The 19,117-nt window shown below is 43.1% G+C and overlaps 1 long non-coding RNA gene across 1 annotated transcript in view; it reads left to right on the top strand.

Annotated features, from left to right (window-relative positions):
* Window positions 1-417: 417 nt before the first annotated feature.
* LOC107987355 (uncharacterized) overlaps window positions 418-19,117 on the top strand; it is a 118,030-nt gene continuing 99,330 nt past the window's right edge. Inside the window, exons 1-2 of the long non-coding RNA XR_001756089.1 lie at window positions 418-503; window positions 16,662-16,884. This is a non-coding gene — a long non-coding RNA (uncharacterized LOC107987355). The remainder of the gene's footprint in view (window positions 504-16,661; window positions 16,885-19,117) is intronic.

The raw sequence follows: 19,117 nt of genomic DNA, 5'->3' as shown, positions 1-19,117 counted from the left end.
GATCCTCCTGCTGCAGCCTCCCAAAGTGCTATGGTTACAGAAATGAGCCACAACACCTGGCCCAGTTTCTATTTTTTAAATGTGTGGTGGTTCTGCTGCTGATTTCTAAGTCTTTAGGAGTATAGGATAATGAATAAGAGAAATCCTTACCTCAAGGACCTCTCAACTCAAAGGAGAGGAAATGAGTAGATAAATGACCACGTTCGGTTTAATCAAGTCACTTCCCCTCTGGGAGGGGTGTGCCCACAGCATAGGACCACAGTGTGGAGCTGCACAGACAGGCTTTGAGGGGTGTTAGGTGCCAACACACTCTGCACACTGCAGTCAGGATGAGCAAACAGTGAGGGCAGTGCTTGGCAGGTGAACAGCCAGGATACAGAGCACTGCCAGCTTGCCTCTAGTCCTAGCAACGCCTCACAGCCTTCTGGCGCCAGCAGTGGACATGGTTGCAGAAAGCAACCAGTGAGAATTACTTTCAATTTTCCATCTGCCACACAGAGAAGGTAGGAGAGGCTTGCAAAGGGAATAGGATCTGGTCCTTTTGTTACTTGGGCATAGAAACTTGAAGTTTTCCTTTTGATTGAGTTCTGGGAAGTCAGTGTGAATCTGCCTCCAGACCTTATTCTCCTGTCTCAGTATGATGTCCCTAGAGTTGTCAAATCCATAGAGACAGAAAGGAGAATTGTGATTGCCAGGGGCTGGGGGAGGGGATGGAGGTTTTAGCGATTAATGGGGACAGAGTTTCACCTTCAGGAGATGAACAAGTTCTGGACATGGATGGTGGTGATGGCTGTACAACAGTGTGAATGTACTGAATGCCACAGAATTGTACCCTGAGAAATCATTAAAAGTAAATTTTATATAGTCGGTGTTTTACCGTATACAACCATAGTTATTCTTTTTCAAAAGACAAGAAGCCATTCAAGGATTTTGGAGTTGTGTTTTGGCAAAGCTTCTGTGCAGATGAGGTAGAAAGCCTGTGGTGTATAGACACAAATGTGGGTTTTCACATAAATGTTGTGGATAAGTGCATCTCCCCATCCCCAACAGAATTATACACTCCGTCCGGGAAGACAGGTGTCTCTTGTATGCCCCAAGCACCTGGGTCATGGGGACCTGGGCCCATTGTCATGGGCAGGTTTCAGTGAGGTCAGGAGCACCTTGCACCACACCTGCTCTCCTGAGGTGGTTTCTGCACCACTTCTATATGGTGGGAACTTTCATCGCCGTAGCACAGTAGACACAAGAATACAGGGAAAGTCTTACTCTCTCCTTTCTAGAGGATTCCTTAGAGAGTAGACTGTAAAAGCAAGACTTTAATATTTGAGATTATTGACAGAGACAATATCAACAGAAACTTATTGCCTTATTGTTGAATAAGGCAAAATGAATCCATTTTCATGTGTTATTTAAAAGAAGCATACTTTTCTATTACCTCTTATTTGTGAAGGAATTGAAAACTGAAACTCTTTCCCAGTCTTTATATCATTTGCACTTTTATGTTGGCCGTGTGACATAGTCAGGATGGTCTTATTTGCATTATATAGGAAGTGAGGATACAGGTTCAGAGAAGTGAAGCAGAGAAGAAGTTTGACCCTGGCATGGTAGGCTATTACCAGGTTGCTTTTATTTAGAACCTCTGGTATGGCTTTCTCTGCAATGAGTTAAATGCCTTAATCAGATTGGGTTTTATAATACTTGTGCTTGTTTAGTTAAGATAATTTACATTGTTTAATCATATGGAGACCTTAGTAGAGAATCAGGAAAATTCAATGAGTTATCATTTTCTAGTTTATGTTTTTCTTCCATTGGCTATTAATCATAAGCTATTTAAATAGCTGTTTTATACATTTATTTTGTAGTGATAGATCCTTAGAAGTAGCAACCTGAAAAGTGATTCAAAGTAAATGAAATTAGTACTGTAAGCAGCTTTCTGGCAAATCAAAGAAGACACAAAATCAAATATTTTTCTGAGGATCCTCAGTGTTTTGAGATAGTTGGTCAGGTTCTTCAAATCTTAAGAAAGCCAGTGGAAGAAAAAAAGTCCAGTTAAGCCTGGGTGCAATGGCTCACACCTGTAATCCCAGCACTTTGGGAGGTCAAGGCAGGTGTATCGCTGGAGGTCAGGAGTTTGACAGCAGCCCGACCAACATGGTGAAACCATGTCTCTATAAAGATACAAAAAAATTGGCCGGGCGCGGTGGCTCACGCCTGTAATCCCAGCACTTTGGGAGGCCGAGGCGGGCGGATCACGAGGTCAGGAGATCGAGACCATCTCGGCTAAAACGGTGAAACCCCGTCTCTACTAAAAATACAAAAAAAATTAGCCGGGCGTAGTGGCGGGCGCCTGTAGTCCCAGCTACTTGGGAGGCTGAGGCAGGAGAATGGCGTGAACCCGGGAGGCGGAGCTTGCAGTGAGCCGAGATCCCGCCACTGCACTCCAGCCTGGGCGACAGAGCGAGACTCCGTCTCAAAAAAAAAAAAAAAGAAAAAAAAAAAATTAGCTGGGTGTGGTGGCAGGTGCCTGTAATCCCAGCTACTTGGGAGATTGAGGCAGGAGAATTGCTTGAAACTGGGAAGCAGAGGTTGCAGTGGGCTGAGATTACACCACTGTACTCCAGCCTGGGGAACAGAGTGAGACTCCATCTTAAAAAAAAAAACAAGAAGGAAAGAAAGAACAAATAAAAAGTCCAGTTAAATGTGCCTTTCCTTTAAGTTTCCAAAGCTTTGCACATTCTAGTGAAACCTAGGAGACCTGAGTTAGCACAGTCAAGTGATGAACTAAGTATGTCCTGATCAGAACAAAATACTGTTCATCAGTATCTTTCCCTTTCTTTTTTATGTACTATTGACAGCTGGCTATAGAGATGGCATAATGTCCAGAAAGAATGCTGGTGTAGCTTCTGTAAGGAGAAGAGACTCCTGATGATCAAAAAGTCTTTTTCATGGAGTTGCCAATGACCCTTTGGAAGTGTTCAGTGCCACTTGTTTCTCATATCAATGTAAAACTGTGAAAAGTCCTCTGCTTCTCATCTGTTACATAACACAAAAAAAAATTTACTTGATTTTGAGGGCAAAGAGCAAATTCTAAAACTGATAGTAGACTCCCACATTGAACTGCGAATTTGCCAATGGTGTTATCCTTTGTCACACAGGATGGAGCACAAGATTGTGTCTGAGGGGGTGGGGTCTGACCTGTTTGGGGTGAGGTGGGGGCTTGTGGGAGCCCGCATGGTAGCCTCCAGCCTCTTCATTGTGACAACACAGGAGTTTCTGTTGTTGCAACTGGCTCTCCCTGTTAGATACAGGTGAGATGTGACGCATATAATCAGAGGGTCACTTACCAGCTAGCTTGAGGGAAGTGGGCATTTTCTGAATGTCCCACATTTTAGAAAAATACTATAAAACTCCCAAAAGAGATACTGTCTGGGTTGTATGAATCTTATTTTTCTGATTTTTCTTTGTACGATGCACAGCCTATTGTAAGGGCAATTTAATAAGGAAATTTAAGCATGTTGGTATATCAAACTGATTTAATCTTTATATACATCCTTTTTGTCGATTAGAGATTTATATGAATTTTATTTCATGGGACTAAGAATTTTTTTTTTAATTTAAAAAATTCTGCTCCTTTCTGGTTGCATTGAAATGGGGGGTCTGTGGCTCATAAAATGTTCTATACTTGGTTAACTAAAAAAACTCTATTTGGATTCAGCTGCATAGTACAGGAACTGTACTTCAAACTAACATTAATAAACCTTTATGCTACATATTTTTAGTGAGTTATTATACAATATATATAATATGTAGATTCCAAATATACTTTAAATTCTCAATATTATTTTGATAATTTGCTCCAATAATGCTGTAATAATTTGAGGAGTGTTAGACATTATTTAACTAAATGGTTAATGGAAGAAACTCACTGGGGGCTTTTGGATTCTGTTTCTAGGATGGTAATTCTCTCATGAGGTTAATTTCCTATCTGGTCTGTGCATGAATTCCTTGAAAAACTGACAGTAATTCTTCTCATTAGTGTCACAGGCAAGGGGGCGAAGGGGTTAGGTGTCAATGCCTGGCTGACTTCCTGCATTACAAAATATACCTCTTATATTTCCATCCTACCTAATGTTACCGCTTTCCTTTCACCTCTTGGGCCTGCGCATGATTTGTTTGCTATCTAGCAGAAGCCAGCAAGCTTTCTCTATGTTTTCAGCTTTGCAGACCCCATGGTGTATGTGTGAAGCCTTCAGCTTTGCTGTGTTGAGAAGCAAGTAGCCGTAAACAGTGGTGAGTGCGTGCTGGTGCTGCGCTCCGAACTGTCTGTAAAGACATAGAAAGTGGAACTTCATCTCATTTTCACAGGTTATAAGATCATTGTTAAAACACGTTGTGAAAGAGTGAAAATACTCTTTTCATTTAAAAACATGTAGTAGGGTGAATTTCTGTTTTTAAAAAAACACAGGATAAAACAAAGAGCTAAAACACTGCAGAGCAGTTTAAATTCAAAATATGAAGTAGCCGAGCCACTGGGCCCTCCACCCCAAGTTGTGCATTCAAAATGCCACCTGGGGCAGAAAACAGGTTTATACACAGAGCCAGAAAGACTTCAGATCTCTGGTGATCAGGCACAGTGGAGGATGTAGATAAAAGATCCCTGCACCCTGCGCTGTGAGCCCGCCAGGTCCCTTCACCTCACTCTTTTTTATGCACAGCCAAAAAAGATCCTAGAGAACTCTTCTCTGGGGAAGGAAGTTACCTCATGACAACAACCCTCAAATACCAATATTTCAAGGCCTATTGATGAAAAAACTAACTACAGGTAGTAACTTCCAGTTTGGAGAAGGCTCCCACTTGTGCCCCCAAGTGGTGCTGTGTAGCTTACTTAGAATCTGCCTGGTGACTCAGCCCCCAGTCTTCTGTTGTGGGGATCCACATCTGAAATGTAGTCCTCTCTGGGGAACACACATCCTTTCCAGATGCTCCTGTAATCTATATATTCTTCCCTGCCTTTCAAGAGGCTTAGAACTTAAACTTTGGTTGTCATTTTTGTTGATATTATGCTCTTCAGTCCTAGTATAGCCATTTTCTAAAAGGAAAGAAAAGCAAAGATCATGGATCAGTAGCCAACGTTAGAGTCAGAGAGCAGTTTGCATGCAGGTTGTCACAGAGGCACATCTAGAACACAAGGAAACTCTCATGCATTTCATGTGTTGTAAAATGGCATTATACTGCAAAGTACTAGTCCAGTCATTCTCTGCAAGGGGTTTAAAAAAAAAGGGATCAGGGGTTAGTACTACTTGCTAGAGTCAGAGAACAATTTGTGTGTAAATTGCTACAGTGGCAAATCTGGATCACAAGGACACTCATACGTATCCCATGCTATTAGTAAAATGGCATTTTTTTTTGTAAAGTCATAGTTATTCTTTATAAGGGAAAGAAGCAAGGACCAGTACACCATTCTATAGTGAGAGTGAAGTTTTCATGTAAGATGTTACAGAGGCAAGTCTATACTGCAGGGAAATTTACAGTCATTTTTTAACATTAGGACATCAAGTCCTGCCTGGATGAGGGGCACTTAAGGTCAGTAAGATCAGGTGGAGAGCCCTTCCTTCCAAAGTCCTAGTGCTTAGCAAAGGAATGAGAAAGGGCAGACATTCACTCCCACTATCACACTCTACACCTGTAATGCCAGCATTGTAGGAGACTGAGGGAGGCAGGTTGCTTGAGGACAGGAACTCGAGACAATCCTGGCCAACAAAGTAAAATCCTGTCACTACTTAAGAAAAGGAAATTACACACTGTAGTCTTACGTTCACTTCACAGAAACTAATGTAGAAATGCAGAATCAATTTTTCTGAAATAAAATTCCTGCATTACTCAGTATTACTTTGTCTCTTGTTTTCAATGTCTGAAAAAAAAGTTTTGTTTTAACTTTTATTGTTTGATCCATCTGTAATTACCAGGCATTGCTCAGTGGTTTGAATTGCCCTCCCCGGCTTTCCATTTTAATCTGAAATTCTGCTGTAAGTCTGTGAAATTGGAGCAGAACACAAACTATGCCATTCATGATACTGATAAGGAGATTCTAGAGAAAGGCGCTTCTTTGGTTGGAGGAGTTTATGCCAGTCACATTTCAGCGATCCCAGAGAGCATTAGACAGCATATATTGCTGCAGAGCAAGCAGCCAGCTGTGGATAGAACAGCAGTACATTTGAAGGTAGTCGGATGCTCATCCTCTGTGTTGCACCAAGACCTGCAGATCAAATAAATGCAAACTAGACTCTTGCAACTGTTTGTTTGAAGATTTAAAAGGAGTTAGTTTATATTTATTTCCATAACTGCTTTATTTCCATCAGTATTTAATGTTTGCCAAAGAAGGAAACACAGGTTTCCCACACTGTCTCCCCATCAAGTATCACAAATTTGTGTGTCAAGTACCAGAATTTGAGAAAGATAATTAAGGTGGTTTAAGGTCATCTCACAGATAGAACCTCAGTCTATCCAAGTTTTTTCCTCCAGGGTCAATGCACTGTATTAGCTTCCTGGTAGTGCTGTGTTAATTAAGAAACTCCGTGGCTTAAAGCAGCAGAAACTTATTGTCTGACACCTCAGAAGGCTAGAAGTCCGAAGTCAAGGTGTGAGCAGGGCTGCACTCCCTCTCAAGGCTCTAGGGAAGGATCCTTCCTGCCTTTTTTCAGCTGCTGGTAGTTGCCGGCCACCCTTAGCTTTCCTTGACTTGTAGCTTCATCTCCCCAATCTCTGCCTCCATTTTCACATGCCCTCCCACAGCCTATGTGTCACTTTCTCCAAATTTCCCTCTCCTTTCATTGGATTTAGGGTCCAACCTTAATTTAGAATGGCCTCATAATAACTTGATTACATCTGCAAAGACCCTATTTCCAAATAAGGTCCTATTCCGACATTTTAGGTGAACATGAATTTTGCGAGGAGGGCACTGTCAAGCCATTATACCTCCACCCATACTTTCCTATTCATAGCCCAGACTGCCAGTGTCCAGGGTGCCCCAGAACCTGATGCTGCCCTGATCTGGGGTGCAGGCTTAGTCACTGCTATTTGGCTGGAGTGTTCCAGGAGGGCCCTGAGCTGGGGTGTGGGCTCAGTCACTTACGTTTGGCTGGAGTGTTCCGGGAGGTTCAGCCAGACTTGGCCAGAGCCCTGTTCCTCTTCCAGCCCCCCAGCCCAATTCCTTTCTCTTGTTTCCCTTCCTTCTATGCTACCACACTGTCTTACACTGAGGATATAGGTGAGTGACTCAATTCCATGAGACAGATCTCATGGTGCAAGCAGTGGTGATCCTTGATACTAGCTTTGAGTTGGTGAAAGGTCCCTAGTAAATTAGGACTGAAGATCTGCACATGACCAGGGGCCCTGTTCCTCCCAGCAAGCACCTTTTCAAAGCAGCAGAATTCATTTGGAAGGCCTGGAAAAAGGAAAGAGGTGCTTTGCCAAAATCAGTGATGTCTGAGAAAGAAGCTTGCTCCCTAGAGCTTGGAGAAGTTCAGAAGAGGAATAGGCCTAGGCATGGCTCTGCAGTAAATTATTAAGAGATGCCCAATCACAGTGGCTGTGGCTACCAGAAGTTTCCTGTGAGGGAACTAAAAAGCACACAGTAGTGTTTGTAAGTGATGGTTCCATTTTAATAGATAAACTTACAGAACTTATAAAAATCAAGAATCTATATTATTGACATTTCTTAAATTAGTTAATATTTCTTTTAAATTTATACTTGAAGTTACAATTTTTAAAACTATGTATATGAATGTGAATACTATGTACTCTGGGGAATATGACTTTGGTTATTTTCTAGCGTCAAGGATAAACACAGCCAAACAGTAGTTAAAGTGGTCAGCACAGATTTTCTTCCATAATTTACACTTTTGCAATAGAGAAAACACATATGTGAAACTGGACTCAACATCAATTAGCCCAGAGGTGACCGGACATTTTAAACGGAAACTCAGGGAGTAGGGAAGGGTTAGGAGGGGCTCAGCAGAGTCAGGGAAGTGAAAATTGCAAAAAGCGGGAAGAGGGTTTGGTCAGTGTGAAGCCATCTGGGTTTCACTGGTGCTGATAGAAGTCAGGCTCCTGCCCTTCCACAGAGGCTTGTCTAGCAGGGATGGCTGGAACCAATGATTAGTTAGTTATTTTGGCAGCCTTGAGTTTTCATAGGCAAGTACTTTAAGGGGATTAGAGTCATCTAGGGGTATGACCTTGAGCTGCTGAACATGTTCAAGTCTTTATAGGCCAGTGTAGGGGCATTGTAGAGAAAAAGACTCAGAGCAGCCTGGGTAGAGTCTGGTCCAGGAGACACTTTGTCACTGAGCGCGACCAGTCCATTACTCACAGTGCTAGCGACCTGTCCTCATGGACTTATGTTTCCTTCAATAAACCTTGAACAAGAAATAAATGAATCACCACATTTCTTTTAAAATTAAACAGATGTTAAACTTGCAGTTTGCTAAAATCCATTTTGTGGACCCCTCTGTGAATACCTGACCTATACAGCCTACCCCGTATGATGTAAAGTTAACTTGCATCCATTTTATGGAATCCCAGGTGCCTGTTTGGCCTGCAGACATCTTTCTGCTTTCCTGGTCAACTCACTCAGGGCATCAGCTATTCGCACAGCAGCAGCTTCCTGCATGTGGCCTCTGACTGTCCATTAATGACTGAATGCTCAGGGACTTGGCTCATGGGCCAAGTTGCCCATGTAAGACCCAGTGTTCAGAGAGCAAGACAAGTCCTTGCATTGTAAAGTGCCAAAAATTCTAGTATTCTAAAGCACAGTGTTTTTCAGAACATGGTACCTTCCTTGTGAGATCATGTGTGACATTTGTGAAGAACCTGGCACTGATGTTTCCTTAGGAAGCCTCACAACAGTAAGTGCTTTCAGCTAGCTCAAGGAACTTCAAGTAAGCAAGAAATAAGAATGGAAACACTGCATTACTGCATCAGATCTTGAAAGTTTTCTCTTGGATAAATGTGCCTGTCAGTCACATCGAATCTTATACCGTCTCCGTATGCTATACCACAACAGCAAAGTCTGATGGAGCGTGTGTGCTCCCTGGGTACACATTCTCCAGGAGGCAGCATCTTATTAGAGAGTAACAGGTCTGTCTTGTGTAGAGGAGAACACTAACCGCTCCATGAGAAGGCTCCCCACCATGAACTCGGATAACTGGATGCTATTTTTTTAACTTAATTGTTAATTGACAAATAAAAATCATATGTAGATATCATGCACAACATGTTTTGAAGTGTGTATACATTGTGGAGTGGCTGCATCAAGCTAATGATCACATGTATCATCTCACTTTCTGATCATGTTTTGTGGGGAGAACACTTAAAATCTAGAATCTGAGTGATTTTCACGTAGCCAGATGTTATTTTTAATGAACTTTGCCCTAATTTTCTATTCAATATCAGTCATATTTATTGAGGGCCCAGCATGTGCCAGCCAAGCGTGGCCTCCTAATTGGAAACACAAACTCTAAGAAACTCTGAGCATTGTCGTGTAGCGCAGTGGGCATCCTCACACCCCCACAGCCAGCATTCAGCTTGCTTCATCAGCCATGGATGGAGTCAAAGGAAAACTAGCTCGCCTTCCCACTATGTATCTGAAATCACTTTCTATTCCAATGTGCACACATGTACTGCAAGGAAAAGGAATGATTCCTGCCCCCACCACTGCCTTCCATTCCTAAGAACAGAGGGAATGGAGTATGAGGATGAGGAAAACAGAGGGCAGGAAATAAGCAGTTTATTGACGGGATGTCTGCATGGGGGTCTTGGGAGTGCAGAGGTTATGACTCCTTCTTGAGTGGAAGTTTCTAACCGCATACATACAAGTGAAATAACTGCAGCCAGCTGCTGGAGGTGTTGCGGTGAATCCCAGAGGGTTACAAGGGTGTGAGGAGCCTGGTAAAATTTCCAGGAAGTGATAGCACATGAGCTATGTCTTCACGGCAAAGATGCAGGTAACAGCTCAGATTCTGAGCCTTAGGAAGAGGGTGGAGGCCAGAGGGTGGCAGGGTTTCTCTGTAGTCCTCAGGAAGTGAAACTGCCTCACAGGGAACAAAGCAACATCAATCAGGCAGTTTCTATGTATATTTGAATATTGTCAGTGTTTTAAAAATCACACATGACATATATCTTTTGTTTTGTTTTGTTTTTGCTTTTGTGAGACAGAGTTACACTCTATTACTCATGCTGGAGTGCAGTGGCACGATCTGGCTCACTGCAACCTCTGCCTCCCGAGTAGCTGGAATTACAGGCACGCGCCACCACACTTGGCTGATTTTTGTGTTATTGATTGATTGATTGATTGAGATGGAGTCTCGCTCTGTCGCCCAGGCTGGAGTGCAGTGGCACGATCTCGGCTCAATGCAAGCTCCACCTCCCGGGTTCACGTCATTCTCCTGCCTCTGCCTCCTGAGTAGCCGGGACTACAGGCGCCCGCCACCACGCCCGGCTAATTTTTTGTATTTTTAGTAGAGTTGGGGTTTCACTGTATTAGCCAGGATGGTCTCCTTCTCCTGACCTCCTGATCCGCCCACCTCAGCCTCCCAAAGTGCTGGGATTACAGGCGTGAGCCACCACGCCCGGCCCAATATCCTTCTACATTTTTTTTTTTTTTTTTTCCGGGCAGAGTCTCGCTCTATTGCCCAGGCTGGAGTGCAGTGGCTCAATCTCGGCTCACTGCAAGCTCCGCCTCCAGGGTTCACGTCATTCTCCTGCGGCAGCCTCCCGAGAAGCTGGGACTACAGACGCCCACTACCATGCCCGGCTAATTTTTTGTATTTTTAGTAGAGACGCGGTTTCACCGTGTTAGTGTCCTTGTCTCCTGACCTCGTGATCTGCCAGCCTCAGCATCCCAAAATGCTGGGATTATCGGAATGAGCCACTGTGCCTGGCTGGATTTTTGTATTTTTAGCACACACGGGGTTTCACCACGTTAGCCAGGCAGGTCTCAAACTGCTGACCTGAAGTAATCTGCCCGCCGCGACCTCCCAAAGTGCCAGGATTGCAGGTGTGAGCCACCGTGACCGGCCAAACCTGCACATCTGACATATTTCTAGGGAGCGAGAAAGGGAAGCAGTCTGTTTACCACCTGCCCGGCAACCTCCTTGAACCGCATGCCAGACAGCTTGGTGTTTTAGCTGACATTGCCTGTGTCCGCCCTCATCTCCTGATTTGTTTTAACCCTTCTATGCTCTTTCTTCTTCTGGGCATTGTACTTTCCTAGCTTTCTGTTTTTGTTTTAAAGACTCAGTAACTTATGTCTCCATGAATACTATTATCATGACTGTTGCTTCTTTGCCCACTTTTCTCTGTATTGCCATTGTTTTCTGGCAGATTCTTGTCTTCTGCCTGTTTGTGTCTTCTTCCACAAACACGTGGCAGTGTCTGTTCTGCTCATTCACATTCAAGAACAGAGCACTTGTGTATTCATTTCTTGGGCTGCTGCCACAAGATACTGAAAACTCTCAACTTCTAATACAAGAAATTGACTCGCTCCCAGTTCTGGAGACCGGAAGTCTGAAATCAAGGTGTCTCAGGGCCACACGCCCTCTGGAAGTTCTAGGGGAGTGTCCTTCCTGCTTCTCCCAGCTCCTGGAGACTCCAGGCTTCCCTGGCCTTGTGGCCACATCTCTCCAGTCTCTGCCTCTGTTTCCACGTGGCCTTCTTCTCTGTTTTTCTCACCCCTTTTCGGTCACTTCCAAAGACAACAGTTATCACATTTAGGGCCCATCCTAAATCCAAGGTGAGCTTATCTGAAGATTTTTAACTTAATTACATCTTCAAAGACTTTTTCTAAACAAAAGCAGAAGTACCTTGCGTTAGGGCTTCTGTTTGGGGGCCACCATTCCACCTACTGCTCTCAGTCACACACAGCTTTTAAAGCATAACAGCTTCCCTTCAGGCAATTGCGAAAGTAGCCCCTAAGAAAGACAGCATGCCAAGGCACCTTCCCCATGGTGGGGTCAGGTGAGAGGGGCTAGGAACCCTTAGGATGCCCATGTAGGAGGTGGAGGCTCAGCAGAATCCCACAGGTGTGTCTTGTCTGCAACAGCATCACTGTCTTCTCTTCTCATAGCAAGGTGGCATCCATCAGCTGACCACATCGTCTGCCCCAGTGGCAGACTTCCATGGCTCACTTCAAGTCCTCCATGTCACACTGTCTTCATAGAGCTGTCTTCCATGTCTCACTTCATAGAGCTCTTCTAGACTGAGGCCTAGGACATGGTTCTCGGCACACAGCATTAATGACATGCCTGGCCCTCTAAGCGGTTCCCTCTCCCCATTTGCGCTGTCAACCCCTATTACCCCCAACTTGCTTCTGCTGCTCACTGCAGGTCTCAGTACAGAGAATGTCCAGGCTCGTAGGGTTCTGATGGCCAGATCACCCAAAAATGAATGCCAAGAACACCTGAGACCGCGCGGCAGCTGCCTGTCTTCTGCCTCTTTCCTTTGTTTAATCCTGTTTAATTGCACATCCCTGTTCTCACCCACCTTGGGTCTCTAGGATGGAGGAAAGCAGGAGCGTTTCTTCCCACTCACAGTGCTGATTCTCCACATTCCCCAGTTCTTCCCCTGGAGAGGTGTCCTGTGAGCTGATTGTTTGGAGCAACAGATATCTAGATATCTGTCTCTCTGCGCTTCCTGTAAACCCACGGAAGCACACCAAATTCTAGGAGCTGGGAACTGGAGTTCATTTATACACGTAATTAACCAGCTTCTCCCTAGAACAGAACTCCATTTGCATTTTTTAGTCTTTTACTTCTCAGGGAAGGCCAGTGAGTAAGACAAAGTTTGTGTGCAATCTTTAAAAGATGAAAAACTTTGTGAAGGCATCAGGCAGTTTTCAATCAGGTGATTAGGATCGTTCCTTCCTGCTGATACACTGGAGCTATATCTGATGATAACGACACTACCTAACATTTATCTGGGGCTTCCTCACCCATGTCATTTTCCAGGCATTGTTCTTCTTGTGAATTAATTCCATGAGGAACAGTAATCATTTCTCTTTGACAGATGACAAAATTGAAGCTCAAAGAGGGCATATAATTGACGGATGTCCCATAGTCTCTGACTGTGGTCATAGTCTTGTCTTGGCTTTCATCTTCATAGGAGTCCGTAGCATTTTGAAGATGTCAGTATGCTGTGGTGCTGTAAAGCAATCTTCCAAAACCATTTTTGATTCATTCTCCGTCAATAAGAATATTGAGCTGCATTCCAGTCTAAACACATTGGTGTGCATTTGTTTATGTACTCCACTGTTACAGCTGGTATCTTAGAAAGAATTCACAGCAATAGAAATGCAAAAAGGATAAGCTAAAATAAAATAATAGGCTGGGCACAGTGGCTCACACCTGTAAGCTCAGGACTTTGAGAGGCTAAGGCAAGAGGATTGCTTAAGGCAGAAGTTTGAGATCAGCTTAGGCAACAGAGGGAGACTTTGTCTCTACAAAACATAAAAATTTACTGGGCATGGTGGCATGCTCCTGTAGTCCCAGCTATTAGGGAAGGTGAGTCTGGGGGATTGTTTGATCCCAGGAGGTTGAGGCTGCTATGATTGCTTGACTGTACTCCAGCCTGCATCACAATGCAAGACCCTGTCTCAGAACAATAATAATAATAAAAAATATGTATTTAAGTTTTTAAAATTAATAGCACCAAAGTACTTTAACAAAATTTTCTTTATGCATTGTGTTTTACAGAGAGCCATGTGTTTAAATGTCCTCCATTATTTTTTTAAATATTGCTTTAAAGATGTGTGATACAGTAATTTTAAAATCTTGTTTTAAATTCAGGTTTTGATACTCAGCTTTAATGACTATGTACATCCAGACAGAAGTTCATGATTGCCTAATTTTTTTTGTTTCTTTTTTTTGTTTGTTTTCTTGAGATGGAATCTGGCTCTGCTGCCCAGGCTGGAGTGTAGTGGTGCAATATTGGCTCACTGCAACCTCCACTTCTGGGTTCAAGCGATTCTCTTGCCTAAGCCTCCCAATTAACTGGGATTACAGCATGCACTACCACACATGCTTGGCTATTTTATATATATATATATATATATATATATAACCTTTATTTTATCTCATCTACCAGTTGTGTTAAGGTTAACACTGAAGTTTAGCTTATAAATGTAGTCTTCTGTGATACTAATCAGTGATTGTTGCAAACTAATGAAGTAGTGCGATATTTTAGTATTTTTAACTAATGAATTCATGTTCTGTAGAAGCTCTTCAGGTGGAGTACTTCTACACTGATTGAATATTGTTTTTATGTGTGGAGGTGTATATATGTGTTCATGAGATCTGTCGTTTTCTTGTCTGGCTTTTGTCTGGTTTTGGGATCAGGGAAGTGCTGATGTAAAATGAGTTGAGAGGTGTTCCCTCCAATTTTCTGAAAAGTGTGTTTAGAATTGGCATTCTTTTTTTTCTTGGGAAGTCGGTAAATTTACCAGTGAGGGTGTCTGATCCTAGATGTGAGAAGGAGGTTTTTAACTACAAATTCAATTCTTTTCATAGGCAGAAAGCTATTCAGGTTATTCATGTCTTCTTGAGGGAGTTATATCTTTCAAAGAATTATCTCATTTCATCTAAATGGTCAAATGTGTTGCCATTAATCCTGTAAAAATTAAGTTTTTATCATTTTATTGATGTTGGGATCTGTAGTGATGTCCCCTCTTTCCCTGCTAATATTGGTACATTTGGATCTTCTTTATTTTTTTTGATCAGCTTAGCTAGAAATCTACTAATCTAATTTCTCTTTTCAAAGAACCCACTTTTGATTTAGTTGGTTTTCTGTATTCTACTTTTCATTTCGTTCATTTTCTCTCTTATTTTTATTATTTCCTTCCTTTTATTTGTTTTGGGTTTATTTTGCAATTTTACTTCACTTTCTTGGGGTAAAAGCTTACATCATTGAATTTTCTTTAAGGTGTTTAATGTGTCAACTTAGATCACTTATTTGAGACCTTATTATTTAACATATCACTCAATGCCATCAGTTTTCCTCTAAACTGTGTTTTAGCTACATCTCAGAAATTTTGATAGTTTTTGGTTCTCTACAAAATACTACTAGTTTCCCTTTGTGATTTCATTTTTGACCCATGCCTTACGTAGAAGTTTAACATCCAAATATTTGTGGCTCTCCAAATTCCTTTCTATAATTATTAATGTCTATTTTAATTCTATCATCATTAGAGAAGTTATTCTATATGATTTTAAGTATTTTATAATTTTTGAGAATTGTTTTATTGTTTATAATAGGATCTTTCCTATTGGGTGTTCTGTGTGCACTTAAAAATAATGTGGATTTTGCTGTTGTTGGGAGAATTATTGTGTGAACATCTATTAGGTCAGGTTGCTTGACAGTGGTTCTGAAGTCTTCTATATTCTTACTTCTTTTCTAATTTTTATATAAATTTTTCATAGAGGAGTTTTAAACTTATTTCTACATTTGTGTTTCTCCATTCAGTTCTATTAGTTTTTGCTGTATACATTGTGAAGCTCTGCTATTTGGTGTTATTTAGGATTATGTCTTATTAATGAACTGACATATTTATGATTATGAAATGTCCCTATTTATCTCTGATGATAGTCATTCATTGTTCTAAAGGCTTATCTGTTATGTGCTCCAGATATCTGTGTGTTGCCTTACCTTGAATGGCTTTAGATGTTTGGAAAAAATGACTATGTTGATTCTTTTGTGTAACAATTGACAAAGTAGGGACGTTAGGTTGTGATATTATTAAAATAGACGTGATTATATGACAATTTAAAATAAAATTTTAGAGAAACCATCATACCTTGTATGGATTTAGATGTTCCTGATGTGCTAGTCAGCATAAGTTAAAGTTGGGAAGGATCCTGGTATTTTTTATTCTTTCTGATAACTAGTCCTCTCATAATTGGCTCTATGGTGACCTCCATGAATGCGTGTGGTCCCTGGAATTAATCCATATGGCTAATGACAGTGTGAGGATGCTCTTTTCATATGGCATGTTGCTGTTGATCAGCTGTGTTCAGCAGCTTTCTTTTGTCCCAATCCCTTGTTAAGTAATGCTGCAGCAGTCCCTCAGCCTCAGCCTTTTCCAGTGTCTGGTGGAGGACGTTGTGTGATTTCCTCTTCTCAGCAGGGTGAAGAATGATTGAAATGTTTTCTGCAGAATACGGCAGTTTTGCAGAAAACACAAAAAGCACAGTCATTGTGTATTTGCTGCTGTGGAATAAAAGTATGGTTCAGCGAGTCCCTGCTCTGTGGCCTTCCCTGTGCCCTGGCCAGATCCCAGGTCTAGTCATTTCCTGGACCTGCTACCTGCCCTTCTCCACATTTAATAAAGAGGCCCAGCAGACAAAGCAGCAGTGCCTCCCAGTGCACTTCTTTTCTGTTCCTTTGGGAAATGCACTGCTCAACCGCCAATAGCTTTTTTGAGTTTTTGGTTTATTTTGAGCAGGGATATTTTGGAGCCGAGAACCCCCTTTCAGACAGTCTATCCTAAGTCAGAAATTCCTCAAAAGAAGCAGCCTGAGAGTGTGCTGCCACTCAGCTGGAAGGACCGTCCCTGGAAGAAGGCCTTGTAGTGGAGGCCTCACCCCTCACTGCACTCCTTCCCTCCATCTCCCCAGGAGCTGAGAAACTGGTTGTCAGAAAAAAGGCATCCCCTTTGCGCTGGCCACCAGGTTGAAGTCTGCATCGTTTGAGATGAAGACAAGCCGCCACAAGGAGATCTTCAGCTTGTTTTCCCAGACTGTGCTGGGAGATGACCCCAAAGTGCAGCGTGGCAAGCCAGACCCCGACATCTTCCTAGCTTGCGCCAAGAGGTTCTCTCCCACTCCTGCCGTGGAGAAGGTAAGAGGGTGCCAGTGACATGGGCCGTGTTCCACAACCATGTTACCCCACATAATATCCACGTAGTGTTTACCAAATGTGAAAAGCTGTAATTTGTGCTATTGAAGGCCACTTTGCAGTGCTCCTTAGAATTTGGGTATGTGGGCAGGGAGATGGTCTGGTTGGAAGATTTTGTGAGGAATCGTGGCCACACCTAAGTCTCTAGGCCAGGGAGACTCAGCCAGAATCCACTGGGTCTCAGGGACAGGCTGGTAAGATTACAGTGACAGGAAAAGGCCTATTCAGACATTTTCCAGGGAAGCAGTGGTTTTAATGATGTGGGGCTTAAAACAGTCTTATTGTCTAGATGCAGGCTTTAAGGTGAGTATTCACTGCAGTTCAGATGTAAATCACTAAAACTCACTTCCCCTCCCCAACTGCTTATAGAGTTCTCATCGGTTGCTGAAGAATTTTTCTTGTGTAGTGACATTGAGTTTTTATGGCCAGCTGGGTTTTTTGCGCTTCCATCTATTTCTCCATTGGAAAGGGCAGCTGGTGGGCTTGTATTCCATAACACCTCCTGTCCTGCACCTCAGCCCTTGGTTCCCTCTTGTTATATGAGTCTCCTCCACAGGTGACTTGGGCAGAGGGTTTAGAGAGCTAACCGCTCATGGTGGCCGGCCGGGCCTGGCTCCAGATTCCTCTGACAGCTCTATTACTGCTGACATGGAGTCCTTGGCCTGAACGATTTGCAGATATACATTCTAGAATCACAGCAGGGCACCCTTGAAAGAGGAGCTTTTCTGTTGATATTAGTGTAAGCAGCTGGGGAGGGTGTCCATCAGGGAGTCCCTGCAAATGCCTCTTTCCCTTGGGTGCCTGCGTGTAAGGACTTCAGTGATTTGTGTGGAGGAACATTTTGGTGAATGGTCTTTTTAATACCGCACCTCTCACTGCTAACCACTGACACCAATCACAAGCTCAGGGAAATTACTCAGAAACCTCCTTCCCAATAAAACTGAGCTACTGGAGTAGTCTTGGAAGACCTGGAGTTTTGACTTTTTTTTTTTTTTTTTTTTTTTTTGCCTAGCGTCCAACTTAGTACCTCAAACCTATAGAGGCAGCCAGAACATGTGCCTCAGTATGCAGACCTCTCATTCTCTGAAGCCAATTTGGTATCCAACAATTCACTTCAATTCTGACACTGACACCTAGGTTCAGCCCAGACCACACAGGTTAACTCCTCAGTCCCCCAAGACACCCAATGAAGATGCCCATCACACATTCCAGGGGCCTCCTACCTGTACTTCTGATTGACTGGCTACAAATTGGGGGCTCTTGGCTAGGCATGGTGGCTCATGCCTGTAATGCCAGCACATTGTGAGGTCGAGGTGGGCAGATCACCTGAGGTCAGGAGTTCAAGACTAGGGTGGTCAACATGGTGAAACCCTCTCTGTATTAAAAATACCAAAATTAGCCAGTGTGGTGGCAGTTACCTGTCATCCCAGTTACTTGGTAGACTGATGCAGGAGAATCACTTGAACCCTGGAGGTGGAGGTTGCAGTGAGCCGGGATCACAACACTGCACTCTAGATCTGGGTGACAGAGCAAGACTCCATCTCAAAAAAAAAAAAAAAAATTCAGGGGTTCCTGCAACCCTCTTTTCCGATCTGATAATCCCCTAATGTGACTGATAGAGCTCAGGAAAACACTTTGATACACTTGCTGGTTTGTTATGAAGGATACAACTCAGAGACAGCCAAATGGAAGCAAAGCATGGGCTGTACCCACAGCATGTGGGTACAGTGCTCCCCTGCCCTCTCTGGGTACCTGACCCTCCCAGCACCTCCGTGTGCTCACCAAACTCAAAGCTCCCCAGCCTCCTAATGTATGGGTTTTTATGGAAGTTTTTACATAGGCGTTAGTGATGCCTTCACTAACCATGGCTCTTTGAAGTCAGTCCATGCCACCACTCCCTTCCTGGAGATGGGGAGAGGGCTGAAAGTTCCAATTTTGTTTGTTTGTTTGTTTATTTTGAGTTGGAGTCTTGTTCTGTCACCCAGGCTGGAGTGCAGTCCTGCAATCTTGGCTCACGGCAACTTCCGCCTCCTGGGTTCAAGTGATTCTTCTGCCCCCAGCCTCCTGAGTAACTGGGATTACAGACACCCACCACCACGCCCGCATAATTTTTGTATTTTTAGTAAAGATGGTCTTGTCATATTGACCAGGCTGGTCTGAAACTGCCCTCAGGTGA

Source organism: Homo sapiens, chromosome Y (assembly GCF_000001405.40).
Source record: "Homo sapiens chromosome Y, GRCh38.p14 Primary Assembly".
In the NCBI taxonomy this organism is placed as follows: Eukaryota; Metazoa; Chordata; class Mammalia; order Primates; family Hominidae; genus Homo; species Homo sapiens.
This window is presented reverse-complemented; position numbering and strand designations above follow the sequence as displayed.